The sequence below is a fragment of the Homo sapiens genome, chromosome 6 (genome assembly GCF_000001405.40).
Source record: "Homo sapiens chromosome 6, GRCh38.p14 Primary Assembly".
Taxonomy (NCBI): Eukaryota; Metazoa; Chordata; class Mammalia; order Primates; family Hominidae; genus Homo; species Homo sapiens.
In genome coordinates, this window is record NC_000006.12 from 89,604,281 (window position 1) to 89,622,201 (window position 17,921).

At 46.5% G+C, this 17,921-nt stretch overlaps 1 protein-coding gene and 1 long non-coding RNA gene across 53 annotated transcripts in view, besides 1 other annotated feature; one reads left to right on the plus strand and one right to left on the minus strand.

Moving 5' to 3' along the window:
- Nucleotides 1-17,921, plus strand: part of ANKRD6 (ankyrin repeat domain 6) — a 200,683-nt gene that overhangs the window by 171,129 nt on the left and 11,633 nt on the right. For 10 of the 51 annotated variants that reach the window (XM_047418408.1, NM_001242809.2, NM_014942.4 and 7 more), the window contains 6 exons: nucleotides 1,727-1,825; nucleotides 7,992-8,090; nucleotides 9,512-9,610; nucleotides 12,279-12,377; nucleotides 13,674-13,751; nucleotides 17,642-17,746. Coding sequence is in view for 46 of the 51 variants with exons in the window: in NM_001242809.2 (NP_001229738.1) it covers nucleotides 1,727-1,825; nucleotides 7,992-8,090; nucleotides 9,512-9,610; nucleotides 12,279-12,377; nucleotides 13,674-13,751; nucleotides 17,642-17,746 (579 nt within the window). In the remaining 5 variants the exon portion in view is untranslated. Of the gene's footprint in view, nucleotides 1-1,726; nucleotides 1,826-7,991; nucleotides 8,091-9,511; nucleotides 9,611-12,278; nucleotides 12,378-12,593; nucleotides 12,677-13,673; nucleotides 13,752-17,641; nucleotides 17,747-17,921 lie in introns of those variants that run through there. The other 41 variants (XM_047418412.1, XM_047418401.1, XM_024446358.2 and 38 more) reach the window with 13 other exon arrangements.
- On the minus strand, nucleotides 1,124-17,645 carry LOC124901359 (uncharacterized). Of its 2 annotated transcripts, none has more exons than XR_007059673.1 (2): nucleotides 17,441-17,645; nucleotides 1,124-1,651 (listed from the first exon to the last, which is right to left on the minus strand). It is a non-coding gene; the product is annotated as an uncharacterized LOC124901359 (long non-coding RNA). The 2 variants fall into 2 exon arrangements; XR_007059674.1 differs by lacking the exon at nucleotides 1,124-1,651 and adding an exon at nucleotides 11,494-11,899.
- Nucleotides 5,102-5,301: a silencer, noted in NCBI's record as "fragment chr6:90319101-90319300 (GRCh37/hg19 assembly coordinates)". NCBI's record gives its function as "represses an EF-1alpha promoter that drives an FKBP-Casp9 reporter gene in an ReSE screen in K562 erythroleukemia cells {active_cell/tissue: K562}" and the evidence as "EXISTENCE:reporter gene assay evidence [ECO:0000049][PMID:32094911]".

Genomic DNA, 17,921 nt, shown 5'->3' on the forward strand with positions numbered 1-17,921 from the left:
TCGTGCCATTGCATTCCAGCTTGGGCAACAAGAGCGAAACTCTTGTCTCAAAAAAAAAAGAAAAAGAAAAATTGATTATTTAAGGAATCCTAATGACTTCTTACATATTAACCTAATGTTTTTAAATTTTCAAACAATCTTAAAACACAAAACTTCACAATTAAGTGCAATTCAGCCTCTGCTTACTTTTTTTTTTTTTCTTTAAAGAGGCTATGCTGGGAAGAACTCTGCTTTACTTTTTAAAAATAACTTTTCATTAAAGTATAATATACATACAGAAAAGTGGACAAATAAGTGTGCAGCTTGTTGAATTTCACTAGCAGAACACACCTGTGTGAGCACCCAGCTCAAGAAGCAGCTCATTGCCAGCACCCAGAAGCCCCATACCCTGTGCCCCCTGCCCCTTGCATCCCCGCTTTCCTTTGGCTTCCTCCTTCTGCAGTCAGTCCCACTGCCCGGGCCACACACCGCCAATACAGTTCCCAGCAACCACCCCATCCCCTGGCCTTTGAGACCCTAGACTTCCCCTTGTGGAGGTCAGCTGTGTTAGGCCTTTATTTTTAGCTGTTTCTAGGGGCATGGATGTGGTTGAGTTAAAGCTGAAGCCAGAGCCTGGATGTAATTGGAGAATGCACCTGCACTGACCTCTGCTGATTGCCCTGCACCCTTCCTTCTCCGGGCTCTTCCCTCCCTGGAACTCCTGCCTTCCCGCCCCCACCCCACTCAATTCATTGCACTTAATGATATTTATTTGTTTAAAATAGTAAGCTAAGCAAATACGAGCTATGTTCATTAAATGACTTCTATTTAAAAGCAACACATTAGGCCGGGCACGGTGGCTCACGCCTGTAATCCCAGCACTGTGGGAAGCCAAGTGGATCACTTGAGGTCAGGAGTTCAAGACCAGCCTAGCCAACATAGTGAAACCCTGTCTCTACTAAAAATACAAAAATTAGCAAGGCATAGTGGTGCATGTCTGTAATTCCAGCTACTTGGGAGGCTAAGGCAGGAGAATCGCTTGAACTCTGGAGGCAGAGGTGGCAGTGAGCTGAGATCACACCACTGCACTCCACTCTAGGTGACAGAACAAGACTGTCTCAAAAAATAAAGGCCACACATTGAGGATACTTGTTTGTTTTATTTCCAAATCACTGTTTCCTCAGTCCCTGTTCATTATTTGTTTGGGGCCCTGAGGCTTTTGAATTAAGGTGGGTGAGATTAAGTTTCAGTGAAAAAAAGTTGGGGAATCGATCAGGCCCCTGAATCTTATGAAGATGGCCTCTTCCTTTGCCTGATCTTTGCAGGGTTCTCTCTGATGCCAGGAGCAGAGCAGACTCTAAGGGTGGTGGAGGTGGGAAGAAATAGATGGCATGCTATCCTGATGATGCTTTCTGTTAAACGAGAGCTGTGGATGGGGCCTAGAGCCTCTCTCAACTGGGGTTCCTAGAGAGACTTAACCTCTAATGCCTTATGAACAATCATCCATGGTTCGTCATGGATTCATTTCTCTTCTGTGCATCTAGAATGGTTCTTATGATGTATCATTTCTGGGATAATGGAGAAACTTACCACTCAAATCATCTTCTGTAGTCTGTGGCTCAGATGAGAAAGTCCAATTGAGAAAGGCCGTCTGGTGTTCCGTAAAAATCCACTGTGATGTATTGATCATAATGAGAAGAATTAGGTCTTGGGTAATGTGCCTTTCCCACCTGTGTGTCTTCCTTAGGATGGGAATACAGCCTTGCATGAAGCATCCTGGCATGGTTTCAGCCAGTCAGCCAAGCTGCTCATTAAAGCAGGAGCCAACGTGCTTGCCAAGAACAAGGTGAGGCCTGGCAGATGCTAGAATGCCTCATTCACAGGTGAGGATGGCTGTGGGTTTCTCCCCCTGTGGGAGCCTTCTTCCAGTGAGAAGAGTGAGAGCCCAGAGTGGCACGAGGAACCTGAAGGTCCATTCGGCCCAGAAGTTTCATTTGCAGAAAAGGCTAGAAGCTGATTGATATTCCAGGTCAGGAGCAAGTGCACCAACAGCGCCAAAACCCTGCTTATGTGAGAGGCCCCTGACTGCTGCTGGGAATCTACATGCGATTACTGTCCCATAGTTTTTTTGTATTCAAAAAATATGGCAATGGAGTTGGCATTAAAAAAATCAGCAAAAGAACTTTAAAATGCTAATACCGAAAATTAGTAAAGTGGGCTCCCCTAGATGCTGCTGGGAAAGTGTGATACGAATAGCCACCTTTGGGAGACAATTTGGCAAAACAAATCAGGAGCCTTAAAATGGTCCTTTTTTGGCCTGGCATGGTGGCTCACACCTGTAATCACAGCACTTTGGGTGGCTGAGGTGGGTGGATCACCTGAGGTCAAGGGTTTGAGACCAGCCTGGCCAACATGGTGAAACCCCATCTCTAATAAAAATACAAAAATTATCCGGGAATGGTGGCTCATGCCTGTAGTCCCAGCTACTTGGGAGGCTGAGGCAGGAGAATCGCTTGAACCTAGGAAGCAGAGGTTACAGTGAGCCAAGATTGCACCACTGCACTCCAGCCTGGGCACAGAGTGAGAGACTGTCGTGGGGGCAGGTGGGGGCGGGGGTGGGCCTTTTTTGGCCAGGTGCAGTGGCTTATGCCTGTAATCCCAAACTTTTAGGAGGCTGAGGCAGGCGGATCACTTGAGACCAGGCATTCAAGACCAGCCTGGCCAACATGGTGAAACCCTGTTTCTACTAAAAATACAAAAAATTAGCTGGATGTGGTGGTGCATGCCGTCATCCCAGCTACTCGGAAGGCTGAGACACAAGAATCGCTTGAACCTGGTAGGCGGAAGTTGCAGTGAGCTTAGTTCGTGCCACTGTACTCCAGCTTGGGTGACAGAGTGAGACCCGGTCTCAAAAAAAAAAAAAAGGTCCTTTTTACTTGGTACCTACCTTTCTTGGACTCTATCCTAAAAAGGTAATAAAACCTGCTATTGAAATGAAATATGGAAAAGAAAAAAATAAGCAATAAAACCAGTAAAATTTTACCGACAAAGATGTTCATGACAGCAGTAGTTATATTTTTTTAACTGTGGGGAGGGAGACTTAGAATTATGGTTCATTCATACAGTGGAATATAATTAATATTAAAATCGTAGTTTTGAAAATAATGCTTTCCACTGTTAAAGAACATCACAAAGAGATATAAGATCATATATAGTACATGTCCCAGTGCTTAATATAAATTTGTGTATTTAAAAATTTAAGCACAGAAGAATATCATCAGAATATTAACAGTGGTTATCTCTGGGAATTGAGGCTAAGATTGATTTTTATTTTTGTACCTTTCCCAAATTTTCCAGAATGAACCCATTATTTCTTTTACAATTGGGAGAAGAGACTTTTTTTTTTTTTTTTTGGATACAGAATCTCGTTCTGTCACCCAGGCTGGAGTGCAATGGCACACTGTCGGCTTATTGCAACCTCTGCCTCCTGAGTTCAAGCGATTCTCCTGCCTCAGCCTCCTAAGTAGCTGGGCATGTGCCCCCACGCCCGGCTAATTTTTCCATTTTTAGTAGAGATGGGGTTTCACCATGTTGGCCAGGCTGGTCTTGAACTCCTGACCCCGTGATCTGCCCGCCTCAGCCTCCTAAGTATCTGGGCATGTGCCCCCACGCCTGGCTAATTTTTCTATTTTTAGTAGAGATGGGGTTTCACCATGTTGGCCAGGCTGGTCTTGAACTCCTGACCCCGTGATCTGCCCACCTCGGCCTCCCAAAGTGTTGGGATTACAGGCGTGAGCCACTGTGCCCATGCCAAGAGATATACTTTATCTCAAAAATAAAAAAGCGTTATCAGTACTCTGGAGATATTTGCAGTTGAGGTAAGAAGGGTCATAAAAGGGCTTACCCTCTTTTCTTTCCCTGGATGGCCAGATTGGGTCTGTAGCAGGGGCCTGAGAATTTCCCACAGTGCACTGCCACATCACAGAGTGGTAGCTTCAGCTAATAGTGGTAGGATAATGAATCAGGTGGGCTAGAATGGGGTTCTAGGTGGCAGTAGCCTGGGGACAATGGGCAGCAGTAAGTACCCTCCCTAATACACACACACACACTATATATATATATATATGTACAATTTCATGGCCAAGTCAAATCTGAAACCATAGTATCTCTAGCTTATGACACACAGACATCTGCATACAAGATCTTCAACAGCAATGCCAGGCAAATCAAGCTATAGAAATATACCCCATCAATGAAGTGACTTCTCCAGACCTTGCATGCTGCAGGAAATAGAAATGACAGCCTGAAACTCCTTTGTGAACGTAATCTCTGTGGGAGCAAGAGAACCCACCTCAGTGGCTTTGCCCTCCGGTGAAATCTCCTGGCTCTCACTACTTTTCCATTGGTTCATTAGAGAGCATAGTTAAGCAAGCCATGCCTTCGTCATTTTCATCCGTCTCCCCTCTCCAGTCCCTCATTACATCTTAGGACATCTTCAAGTCTCACACCTGTTCCTCTTTCCATGCTCATTCTTAAGCATGCCCTGGATTATTTCAGATGCCTCAAGCAGATTGGCAGGCTCAAATCTAGTCCCTCCTTTCATCCTGCTCTTCCTCTGCTCAGCGACCTTCTCATAAAGCTCCTGTCTGACACTGTCTATAAGCCTCTGCTGGCCCACCTCTGGAGTTCCTCCTGGCTCCTTTCCCCTAGAGCACCTCCTGTGCCCTCAGAGTGGGGCTCACTGGCCTGCTTCTCATTCCTGCCTATAGACCTCCAACCTGGCCCCAGGCCCTCTCCCTCCCCGAAGACCCACTGGGCTGCTTCTGCAACTCTCCCTTGGCACCGCATGCAGCTTTGTGCTGTCGTTTCCTAGTTCATATTTTTCATGGTTCCCTCATGGATCAAAAGCTTGAGGTCTGAGAGCAGCAAGCTACGTATGGTAATATCGCCGGTAGTGCCTGGCTCACAGCTCAGGAGGTGGGTGGCTGCCCATTTCTTCAAAATGCATATGGTCTGGAACAGGAGTTGATGGTGTGTAATCACTTTTTTTTTTCTTTTTGAGACAGAGTTTCACTCTTGTTGCCCAGGCTGGAGTGCAATGGCTCAATCTCGGCTCACTGCAACCTCCGCCTCCCGGGTTCAAGCGATTCTCCTGCCTCACCCTCCCGAGTAGCTGGGATTACAGGCACCTGCCATCACGCTCAGCTAATTTTTGTATTTTTAGTAGAGACAGCGTTTCACCATGTTGGCCAGACTGGTTTTGAAATCCTGACCTCAGGTGATCCACTCACCTTGGCCTCCCAAAGTGCTGGGATTACAGGAGTGAGCCACCGAACCCGGCCTGTAATCACCACGTTTTTTTGTTTGTTTGTTTGTTTTGAGACAGAGTCTCACTCTGTTGCCAGGCTGGAGCGCGATCTCGGCTTGCTGAAACCTCTGCCTCCCGGGTTCAAGCTATTACGCTGCCTCAGCCTCCTGAGTAGCTGAGACTACAGGCACACACCACCATGCCCAGCTAATTTTTGTATTTTTAGTAGAGACGAGGTTTCACCATGTTGGCTGGGATGGTCTTGATCTCTTGATCTTGTGATCCACCCACCTCGGCCTCCCAAGGTGATGGATTACAGGCGTGAACCACTGCACCCAGCCCAGAAATTGTTTCTGTGTAAATAAAATGGCTTCAGAAGGACAGGTCAGGAAACTCATGCGTCTCAAAGGGAGGGACATTTTGTACCAGCCATAGCCCGTAGAAAGATCCTTCTTATTCAGCAGATGTAGCAGCTCCTGTCTGGGAAATCAGTACCCACTACTCAGGGTGGGGAAAAACGCCTGCTACATATATATCTACCCTAGGTCACATTTTCTAATGTCAGGTTTTGAGATATAGGTATGAAGTCACGCTGTTCTGTGAGTTTTGACAAATGTATACGGTTGTGTAACCCCCACCATAAGATATAGAATGTTTCCATTGCCCCTTAATGTTCCTTTGCGCCCTCTGGTGGCAGGCCCCCAGTCACCCTCTCCCAGCCCCGGGCAACCACGGATCTGTTTTGCTTGTTCATAAAGGTCATGTAAATGGAATCATACAGTATGCGGCCTTCTGTGTGTGGCTTCTTAAACTTAGCATAATGTTTTTGAGATTCCTCCGTGTCGTTACATGGAGGAATGGTTCACGCCTCTTTATTGCTGAGGAGTATTCCATTGTGTGGATCTACCACAATTTGTTTATCCAAACCTATGGTTTTTAATTTTCTTGGTGCAAATGCTTTTCCACATCATCGATATTTCCTTATTGGCAATATAAGCTTTGGTATGATCTATTTCTAGAGGCATCAGATTTCTTTCATTTCACTCATGTATTCAACACGTATTTAGTGGTTGCCATGAAGCCCATAACTTGCAGACAACTTGAGAGTAGTGTTTTTAAAACCTGGGCAGACCCCTTGTTGCTGAGAACTAAACTAGCAGTGGTTCTCCACCTGGCTGCACATTAGACCCTCCTGGGGAACTATAAACAAACGAAAAAGGAAAAAAAACAAAACTTAAAAAAAAAAAAAACCTGAAGACCAGGCCTGGGGTGATGGACTGTCCCAGTTTGCCCTGGGCTAAAGGGTTTCCCGGAATGTGGGACTTTCAGTACTAAAATAGGGATGCTGGATACCCATCCCCAAGGCCACATAAATCAGAGTCCCTAGAACGGTTGTGGCTGTGCACAGGGCTGGTTTGAAAGCTTCCCCAGGTGATTCTAATGTGCACCCAAGGGTTGAGAACCAGCGAGCCTGCTAGAACCTCAGGCCTGTAATCCTCCCTGTGCCTGGAGGTAAAAGTGAGACAAAAGGTCCACCAGGGCTGGTTGGAGCTAAGGTGAAGAGAAGGGGGATAAGCAAACTGGCCGCATCCAGTATTCCTCTATTTTTTTTTTTTTTAACTCATTTCTCTTTTTAAAAGATCAGGAATCTGATATACTGGAGTATCGGCAGCCAGGACTGTGAGATCCAGAAGGGTGTGAACTAGGTGAGGGAGAAGCAATGAACAGGCAGTGTAATGCTCTGAGCCCACGCACCTGCAAGCCTGACCCAGCACTTGAGCTCAGCAGAACCAACGCGGAGCTTCTGTGTTTAACCTCCTGAGTGCTTGCAGGCTCTTGGATGACACAATGTCACCTATCACACGGCCTTGCTTTCTTGTTACTTTTCTAGGGGTTATCAGCGGCCTCACATGCCCTACTCCCATAGACTCAAAAGTTCTGTTCATGTCCTGCAATTTTTTCCTGCAGTATTGCTATGGACCTTATTCTGACCCTTGGTTGTCATTGTGATGTGGTTTGTTGAGGTTCTCAAAAACAAGAAGGACCCAAAAAGCAAGAGGGTCTCAATCTGTGTCCTAAGTGATAGATGCAACTGTACTGCCTGAAAGGCAGGGCCTGGTGTCCATAGTTAAAATTTTGATGTTTCAAGAAAAATACAAGAATGGGTGACTTGAAAAAGGCTAACAAGTTAAATCTCAGTTGCATTAGCCTGCCCTTCCAGGAAGTGGCTAGTTTTACTTTTTTTAGCCCACCATTGGCAGGGATTGTAACCACAGCTATTGCCCATGTGGGGCAGGAAGTCATCTGATAGGAATTGAGTACTGTGCATGTGTCCAGCATTGTGTGTTAAGAAAACACCTTCCTAGACACTCTGAGTCAATCCCCATAGTTTTAGGATGTGGGGGTCATGCTCCATTTCCCAGGTAAGGAATTTGAGCATTTGAAAAGGCTGGCTTTTAGTTAGTAAGTTGCAGAGCCAGGACTTGGAACCAAGGTTTTATGACAAATAGGACTCTTCTGCCTGTTCAGACTCCAAATTAAATGTTCTTACCTCTGAAGCATCCCCACTGAAACCATCGGGCAAGAGGCAGAGAATGTGAGCGTTGCCTTTTCCCCCGAGTAAGTACTGCCCCTCTGCAAGGCATGCAAGTCTGTGCGGAAGCATGTTGCTAATATGTCCTCCCTCTCTCTGCCTCTCTCCAAGGCGGGGAACACAGCTCTGCACCTGGCCTGCCAGAACAGCCACTCCCAGAGCACGCGCGTCCTCCTGCTGGCCGGGTCCCGCGCTGACCTCAAAAATAATGTGGGTGAACAAAACCAGATTCTCACGTTCTCTCTTTCTTGTGTCACTTCAGAAAATAACTTCATGAGCATACTTGAACCTTAACATCTAGAAATTAAAATGTAAAAAGTATTTGGGGACTATCTCTAAAGTGTTCTTTTTTTGGCAATTTTCTAAGGGATCATTCAGGCATGTGAGAAGAAGAATCAAAAGACTTGGAAATACTGCTTTTCTCCCATCATTTTCCCTTCATGCCTCATCTTTGGTTTATCATTTCTTACAGTACGTGTCTGGCCAATTACAGACTAGGAAACCAGTTAATGTTTTAAGAAAGTCTCTACCCACATAGAGTGTTGAGTGTTGTACTATTATCAGCAAATATGAGCTGGTGCCATTTACAGGGGAGGTCCTCTAATGCCCCATGCCCAGCATCTATAGCGAGCAGGTCCTACTGATGACTGAGGCGTCCTTGGGATGAGCTGACCGGAAAGGTCACATGGGTATCGCTTCTTCACAAAGAAGCTGTATTTCCTTTATAAATCCCCTGCCTTAGCCACGTTGGCTAAATAAATAAATAAATCTGAGGCTTCTTTCTAAAGTGTCCTCAGGTGAGGGTCTCCCTGTTTGGGGTAGACTCATCTAATGCTCTGAACCTCAGCTTTGAGCTTGGTTCCGTCTTAATGCAGGGGAGAAAAGTATGCCAAGTGGCCAGTGTTCTCCAGACAGAGCTAGGATGGAAATGGCAAGAAAACACTGCAGGCAGCTTTTTGTCTCCAGTTCTTTATTGTCTTTGTGGGAACAGGGTTCTGCCTGTTGTGCTTACTGAGCATCCTGCCCCTGAGTTTTTCTTCATACCCTTTTTTTGCTCCCAGTGATTGCTTCCTTATGAGCTCCCCTACTACATAGCTCCATATAGGATATTGGGGTCCAACTGAAGTGGGATACTCCTTGAACTTCAGGGGGTACGTGTAATCTTAAGATTTGACAACCCCCCTGCTGCCCTGTCCTTTCATCCATGAGGGATCTATGCTGGGAAGGGCTCATTTCCAAAGCAATGCTGTTGGTCTTAAGTCAGTATACTACTGACCTTTTGGGTTGTAGGGAGGCTAGGGTCCCTGGATCCTCCTCAAGCACAGGTAAGCAGAGCCTGCCTTAGCTCTTGGAAAGGTCTCATGGGGAGCAGACGTCTAGTTTCATAAACGTGGAAGCAGTGATTCTGTGACCACGTGGTTGTTCTGCACAGGCAGAAAGGGAGCAGGGCTGCCCACAGCAGCAAAGAATGGCGAGCCTTGGGGTGGAGCATCTATGTTAAAAGAGCTGCTTATGATTCCCTAAAGAGTACATGATAGTCTGCTAGCTTTTAAATAACATTTTCTTTCTACTTTTCTCTATTTGTTTTGTAACTGCTCAGATTGTGCTTAGAGTTTGATTTTTGTCCGCAGGCAGGAGACACCTGTTTGCACGTTGCTGCGCGCTATAATCACTTGTCCATCATTAGGCTCCTCCTCACTGCTTTCTGTTCTGTCCATGAAAAGAACCAGGTCAGTGCATGTATTCTCTTCATGGCTGCCAGCACCCTTCCCACAAGGCTACCGGACAGGTCTGTTAGTGCAAACGGGAGCAGAGGCTGCTGGGAAGCTGCCATGTCACCTACCTGGGACTCAGCCAGCAGTGGGCTTTGCATGGGTGTCACACTGAGTTCTAGTGGCCCTGGCTTATCTGGCCTGCTAGAGAAAGTGTGCCCTTATAATTCCTGTGCATATCACCACATTTGCATATTGAACATTTTCTGGAGATCCTGGGGCAGGCTTTGTTTTTTAAATGTGATTTTAAAAAGAAAACCCACGAGGAAGAATGTGATTTAGTAAAGAAGCAAGGGAGGCCGGGTGCAGTGGCTCACATCCCAGTACTTTGGGAAGCCAAGGCAGGAGGATCACTTGAGGCTAGGAGTTCAAGACCAGCCCGGGCAACATAGCGAGACCCTGTCTCTACAAAAAATTTTTTTAAAAATTTGGCCGGCCGTGGTGGCTCATGCCTGTAATTCCAGCACTTTGGGAGACTAAGGTGGGTGGATCACTTCGAGTTCAGGAGTTCAAGACCGGCCTGGCCAACATGGTGAAACCCTGTCTCTACCAAAAATACAAAAATTAGCCAGGCGTGGTGGCGTGCACCTGCAATCTCAGCTACTCAGGAAGCTGAGGCAGGAGAATTGCCTGAACCCAGGAGGCAGAGGTTGCAGTGAACCGAGATCATGCTACTGTACTACAACCTGGGCAACAGAGCAAGACTACATCTCAAAATAAATAAATAATAAGTTAATTAAATTTAAAAATTGGGCAGAGTGGCATGTGCCTGTAGTTCCAGCTACTCAGGAGGCTGAGGCAGGTGGATTGTTTGAGCCTAGGAGTTTGAAGCTGTGGTGAGTGAGCCATGATCTTGCCACTGCACACCAGTCTGGGCAACAGAATGAGACCCCGTCTCTTTAAAGGAAAAAAAAAAAAACAAAAAAAAAAACCCACCAAGCAAGCATAGGAATTAGAAGTCTTATAACTCCCTAAGTTCTGTTCCTTGCACTGCCACTTACTTACACTTGAGCTGATAGTCTTTCATTCCCATAAAATTGGGCATATAATCTGTAGAGAGTGCCATGCAATGGGGTTTTGAAATAAAGCTGTGAATATTACCGTCTTCCTTAGAAATGTGCACAATTTCCAGCAGTCATTGGATTTGAAAATTAGATTGTCTTGGTATTTATTGACACCTATGTGGTACATTGTTTCACTTTTCTTTGTTGGAGTGCATAAATCTTAACTAAAAAAAAAAAATTAGATTGTGGTGTAGATTAAAAATACCATGGAATGGTGGTTTCTGACCCTGGCTGCATATGAGAATCAACAGGGGAATTAAGAATACTGTTCCTGGATCCCACCCCAGTTGAAAGAGTCAGAACCTCTGGGGGTGAGGTCCAGGCAATGGTGTTTTTAAAAAGCTCTCTGTCTGAGTATACAGCCACTGACCTAATCAAGTAGCACGGCCTCCCCAGTGGGGTGCTAGATCATCAGGTGACCCCTGCATAGCCCCCACCAACCAGTGCCTTTCAACCTTGGCAGCGTGTCACGGCACTTGAGAGCTTTAAAAAGTCCCCCTGCCCAGCCCACATGGTAGACCAATGAATTCAGCATCTCTGAGAGTGGGACCCAGGCATCATCATTTTTTAAAGCTCTGAAGCTTATTCCAATATTCAGCCAAGGGGAAAGCACTGTGCAGAGCTTCCCTTCAATACACATAGCTAAGTGACTCAGAAATGAAATAAAAATTTTCCCACCCCTCACAAAGATGGCTGAATGTTCATGCTACCCAGGAAAAAAGTATCAGGCGCTTTGCCTGATCACCTGATAGGAGAAAGAATGAATTGTTTCACTTCTCCTATATTTGTCTGGTTTATTTATATCATTGTGTTTGGAAAATGACAGCATTTGCATTTGGAATTGGCCCACTAAGCTGCAGTTGTCTTTATCCTCCTTTCATAGTTGATTTTGTGAAAGCATATTTCTTGTATAAAGATAATATGAACATTTATTTATAGGCTATCTGTAAGATGTAGAAAACAGTTGGTCTTGAGTGAACACTGGTTCTTGGTGTTTCCACCCGCACAAAGCATATCCTGAGCCTGCAGATGGATTGAGTCCCAGTGGCCCCTTCAGATCTACCCGCTGTAGCTGCAGGCTGGCCTGTCACCTCTCCGGTGCTTGCAGAAGTAGCCATCTTCACGGCTTCTCCTGCTCAATCCAGCACTCAGACACCAAGCAGTTTTCTGACCTCTGACCTCCCTGGGTAAAAGAACAGAGCCAAAAGTGGAATGACTAGCCTGCCTGCCCCAGGCCTCCTGCCTGTCCTCCTGTCCTCGTGAGGCTTCAGGTCCCACCATTCTCAACAACCCAGGCCAGCATTACTTTGCCCCTGCGTTTAATCCTGCTGCGTGATTTCAGGTATCCTCACTCAGAAAGAAAGGTGATATTGGTGCCGAGGTCACTTAGTTCCAAGACCTCTTTAAGTAGAGCCTCATAACGCTTTAACAAAGGGCCCCATTTCAGTCTCAGGCAAATCTCAGTTTGACTTTGAAGAGCCACACCTAGGCCAGGTAATGAAAAGCTGGGGGCTGTAGGCCATGAGCAGATGAGGTTTAGCAGACCTTCTAATCAATTCCAGGCTGGAGACACAGCACTTCACGTTGCTGCTGCCCTAAATCACAAGAAGGTGGCCAAAATCTTACTGGAAGCCGGAGCAGATACGACCATTGTTAACAATGTAAGTTGAGTTGCAACATTGCTTTCTAAAGTGGTTCCCACCCCTTTCCAGAATGGGATGTGTACTAAACCCCTGCAGACCCCCAGGCCCAGCGCACTCTGGAAGACGGGGGATCTCTGCTGGAACCACAGCCCCCAGGGCCATTGGGGTGGACTTGAAGGGTACCCCTGCTCTGAGCAGCCCCAGGAGTTGACAAGCCTTGGGGCCTGCTTTTAGCTGCCTGACTGCAGTGAACACAACCTGGCATGAAAAAGAACTCAGGGATGTCCAGTTAAACTGACGAGTGGATGTTACCCAAAGTGAGTTCCAAGCTGTAAATGCATGTGATGCTCAGAAAAATGGCCACATGGCCCTCAGTTTAGTCAGCTTCAAAATTCTAAAGCAACTCCTTTCTCTTCCACTTTGCCTGACCTCACTGTTTCCCTTTCCCTCTCCCCCTCTCACTGTGTGTCCTGCAGATCCTAGAGCAGGCACCAGCTCAGGTGCGCTTTCTTCTTCGAGGCTGTCCTGCGGTCTCTGCCCCTCTGAATGGTTCAGCAGGGCCTGGAGGGTGCAACAGCTGCTGTGTGGAGGTTTTTTTGAGGGGTGTGTGGTCTGGGACTGCTGAAGCTGGCACAAGGCTCTTCAGCTTCCTTGGCTCCTGTATCTAGCTCCCCTCTTTCTCCTCCTGCCTTCTTTTAGCTCTACAACCAGTACTGGGGGTGCAGTTCCATGATGCCTTGAATATCTTCCTTTTGCTATCAACTCCTGGGTTTTGGCTTCATCTCCTGAGAACCTACATTATGGCCATAACTCGTAGTTGCTTTTCATATTCAACTTCCTGAATCTCTCTGGCCAGCCCTGATCTGCTCCTCCGGCGTCTTCCCACTGTTTTCCAGGGGAGATTAATCACTGGGCTGGGCCTCAGATCCTCTGTGGTGTTTCCCCAACTGAAACATTCCCCCTGGATGCTGTCTGAGTGCTACGTTCCCTCCCCTCTTTGCAGGGAAGCACTCCTTGGTGGGTGGTACCCAGGCCTTGGCCTCCTAAAGCACTTCTTGCCCCCTTGGTCTGCCCTTGCCCTCTGGTGTCATATATTTTACTTAGCGTGTCTTCCAGTGTGACCCACCTCCCTCACTGGAGGGTCTGAGGCTGATGACCAGGGCCATATCACATAGGTGGCCATGTTTTGCCACGTAGGTGCTGGGTGTGACTGGGTGTGGAACTGCCTGCTCCTGGCCAGAGCTGTGCCAGCTGGGCTATGTGCGTGTGGGACCCGTGGCCCTTTCTCACCTGTCCTACTCTGCCTCTCCTCAGGCAGGCCAGACTCCGCTGGAGACTGCCCGCTACCACAATAACCCGGAAGTTGCTCTTCTCCTTACTAAAGCTCCCCAGGTAGGATTTACTGCCCTTTCCATGGTACTGATTATGCGGGACTACAAAGTTGTTGGGACTCCTGGTTGCAATCTACTGAAGCCTCTTCAAACTAACTTAAATATGGAATGTAACCAGGCAGTGGAGGTATAGGCATGCATGGGGGCCCAGGATGACGGGAGTCAAAGGCATCAAGTCCAGCTCTTCGTGTTCATGCCTGGGCCGCCTCATCTTCTCCCTGTGGCTGGATCTTTGTCACGGCCAGCTGCCTAGGTCATAGTTTCCCAGCTACTCAGCCAAGGAAGAAGTTCCAGTTTAAGACATCGCAGGACAGGGCCATGATTGCAGAGTTTAGGCCAAATGCCCATCCCTGAAGAAGTGGGACAGGGACTTTAAGAAGAGAAGTGGCATTCCCCAGAGAAAGGCAGGAGGGAGGGGACGATTCTGGGCAGATAGTCGCCTGCCGGAGATAGTTAAGTACAGTCTAGTTTTCTTTCCTCTTTTACTGACTAATGGTATTTTGACCATCATTTAATTTTTTTTAAAATGGTGGCTGATACTTTAGTTGAGGTTGACATTATCTAAGTAACAATAAAGAAATGTCATAATAATTTATAAGCTATTTATAATTCTAGCCCCCTGAAACAACTGTTTTTGTTTCATCCACAAAATAGATGAAACAGACACATAATTTTTACATAATTGTGCTTACAATGTATATACCCTTTTGTATTTCTTCCTTTTATCCTATTATAAAACAATGTTCTGCAGTCTTCATAATTATTCATTATAATGGAGGCATAATATTATTTTTGTTGCTATTAATAGTTTATTAAGCCATTTCCTTAATGTTGGACATTTAGGTTATTTCCAGATTGGCACTATTCTGTATTACATTACAGCAAACACTGATTGGCTTTCCATCTTATTCTGCAAGAAGAAGATAAAGTCTCAGGGAGTCAAAGGAAGATTTTGAACACAACCCTGCTGCAAAATAACCCGACAACAGCCCAGGGTTTGGGATGGCCTTTATTTTGTTTAAGTTTTTAAAACGTGCCTAATATAACTAGTAGTTTCTGGAAATGGTTAAGATTTTTGTCTTTTGCAAAATTGATCACCTTCTTGTGCATGGAGCTGGTCCTTCTCAGTGGTCTCTGGAAGGCCACAGAGCTCCCGACAAAAGAAAGTCAGTAGGAAAAGCTGCGGGGTTTCCACCTCTAGCAGCTTTTATCGTAAGTGGAATCACATCCATGAATCCTGATAGAAAAATGCTAGTCTCTCATGGATCTAAAAGTATGAAGTGCTGTATAAACGTCAGAACCCATCACATTTCTCTGGCAATTTCAGTATGTGGTAATTTAATGGACAGCCAGCCCCACCCTCAGCCATACAAAGATCAAGTCTTACAGGGTTGGAGGGTTCCCCAGGCATAGAAAGATTGACGGATCTTTAATCCACCTGTCATTTGTCTTCCAGAGCCCAAGGATCTTCACTTAAAGGGCAAAGAGCCTTACTGTGGACCATTTCCCTGTGCAGTTCTTTTTTGTTTCCACTTAAAACAAAAAAAGACTTAAGCAGGTTTCTCCATGCTTACATCGAATAACAAATAAGTTGGATGGCATGCTATGAAAGTTTATTTTATGCATAATTGTATATGCTGAGGCTTTTTCTCAACACAAACAAGGAACTTTAGGCATAAGATGTTACGCATACTGTTCTCTTGATCTGTGGTTACAGAAATAGCATTAGTATTTGCTTTGCCTGAAAAGAGAAAATCCCCTTGCCTTAGGCCCGTAGTTGGACGTGGATTTTAAATGGGCCACAGCAGTACTAAGAGGATACTGTTTATTTATTTATTTGAGACAGAGTCTCGCTATGTCACTCAGGTTGGAGTACAGTGGTGCAATCTCAGCTCACTGCAACCTCCATCTCTGGGGTTCAAGCGATTCTCCTGCCTCAGCCTCCTGAGTAGCTGGGATTACAGGTGCCTGCCACCACACCCAGCTGATTTTTGTATTTTTAGTAGAGACGAGGTTTCACCATGTTGGCCAGGCTGGTCTCGAACTCCTGACCTCAGATGATCCACCCACCTTGGCCTCCCAAAGTGCTGGGATTACAGACGTGAGCCACCATGCCCAGCCATAGGATACTACTTTTGGAGGCCTCAAGGTCAATATTCCCTCACTTCTGTGGACTGGAAAAGATTAATGACATCCCATTTCGTAGATGGTCTGGTTTGCTGAGAAAGGCTGGAAGCCATGCAAAGTTATTTTCACTGACTAATGATATGGTGAATGGAGGGAATTTTGCTGATTCTTATTTTGGGTTTGGGTGACCTCTGAGTGTCACTTGTCATTTTGATTGGTGTGGTTCACGAACGCTCTGAAAGTACATTTTAGGCTGATCCTGGTGCTGTATTAAGAGTCCATACATCAGGTGAGCAATGGGTATAGTCACTGTCTTTCACCATACTTGATTTCCTGGTGAATCTGAATTTAGCTTTAGAAATGACTCGGGGAAGTGGTTCTCAGACTTCTTGGTCTAAGGACTCTTTTACATTTTTAACTATTACGGACCAGAGATTGAAGGTTTCCATCAACTCAAAGATCTGTATTCTGTTAAACACCCCCTGCCAATTAAGCCACCTGAAGGCAGGTAGGGAAGCACCTGACAGTGACTGACAGTCCACTGCATGCCAGCCACCTATTTTTTCTTGGTGAATCCCAACGACTCCCCGTTTTTCTTTCTTTTTCTTTTTTAAAAATAAAGACGAGGCCGGGTGCGGTGGCTCATGCCTGTAATCCCAGCACTTTGGGAGCCCAAGATGGGCAGATCATGAGGTCAGGAGATCAAAACCATCCTGGCTAGCACGGTGAAACCCCGTCTCTACTAAAAATACAAAAACAAAATTAGCCAGGCATGGTGGCGGGCGCCTGTAGTCCCAGTTACTCGGGAAGCTGAGGCAGGAGAATGGCGTGAACCCGGGAGGCGGAGCTTGCAGTGAGCCGAGATCACGCCACTGCACTTCAGCCTGGGGCACAGAGTGAGACTCTGTCTCAAAAAAAAATAATAATAAAAAAATAAAGACAAGGTCTTGCTTTGTCTGCCAGGCTGCTCTTAAACTCCTGCCCTCAAGCAGTCCTCCCACTTTGGCTTCCCGGAGTGTTGGGATTATAGGCATGAGCCACTGCGCCTGACCCGTTTTTACATTTGAGAAGACAGAGCGCAGAGAGGTCAAATCACTTGCCCAGAGACCCTATAGCCAGTAGCTACTGGGTTCAAACTGAGATCTGTTCTGACCCACCTATGTTTTTCTGTGTCCATTCTGTCACTCTGCACTGTAAGAGGCAGAGTAAATGCTTCCTTTTGGGGAAGAGATAACTGTCCCGTGGTTGGTACTATGGCTCATAGATACACTTTAATAATATTTTGAATCAAATTGATGTGACTTGGACACAGTTTGGCCAAGGGAACATCTGCTGGGCTAGCTCAAGTCCAGTGTACCAAGATGGAGAGTGAGACTGTGCCTCACACGGGGCTGCTGCGTTGCACAACTCCAGGAGACGCCATTCATATCCTAGTTTATGTGAATGGCACTCCCTGGAGCACAGTCTCTGTGCATGTAGTTGGCAGTCCCGGCCCAGCATCAGTGTCTGTAGTTATTATCATCATAGACTTTAAGCTTCTTGAGGTCAGGGATAATATCCTACCTGTCTCCGAGTCCCCGTGGTGCCCAGGACAAGACCTAGGAGGATGGTAGGTGGTCCAGAGGTGCTTGCTTGATGTGAACACCTGCTCTCACCCTCTAAGCTGTAAATTCCATTAGGTCAGAGCCCCAGGTCCAAGGAGAATTCTCTCACACAGATGCTGCGCACACCAGTGGTTGTAACAATGCCGTTTGCCTCCTTCAGGTCTTGCGCTTCAGTCGTGGGCGAAGCCTGAGGAAAAAGAGAGAGAGGCTCAAGGAAGAGAGGAGAGCCCAGTCTGTGCCAAGAGATGAGGTGGCCCAAAGCAAGGTGGGGGGCAGTCCTCCCGCCGTCCCCACATCCACCCATGCTCAGAGGGTGGGAAACTATCTCCCTGCTTCGGCCAGGTTCACCTGGTGGCTGCCCGGCCCTCTCTGCCTCTCCTCCTTGCTGGAGCTCTTCAAACTGTTGCCAGTCTTTTTCTCTTTGGTTTCACATCCTCCAT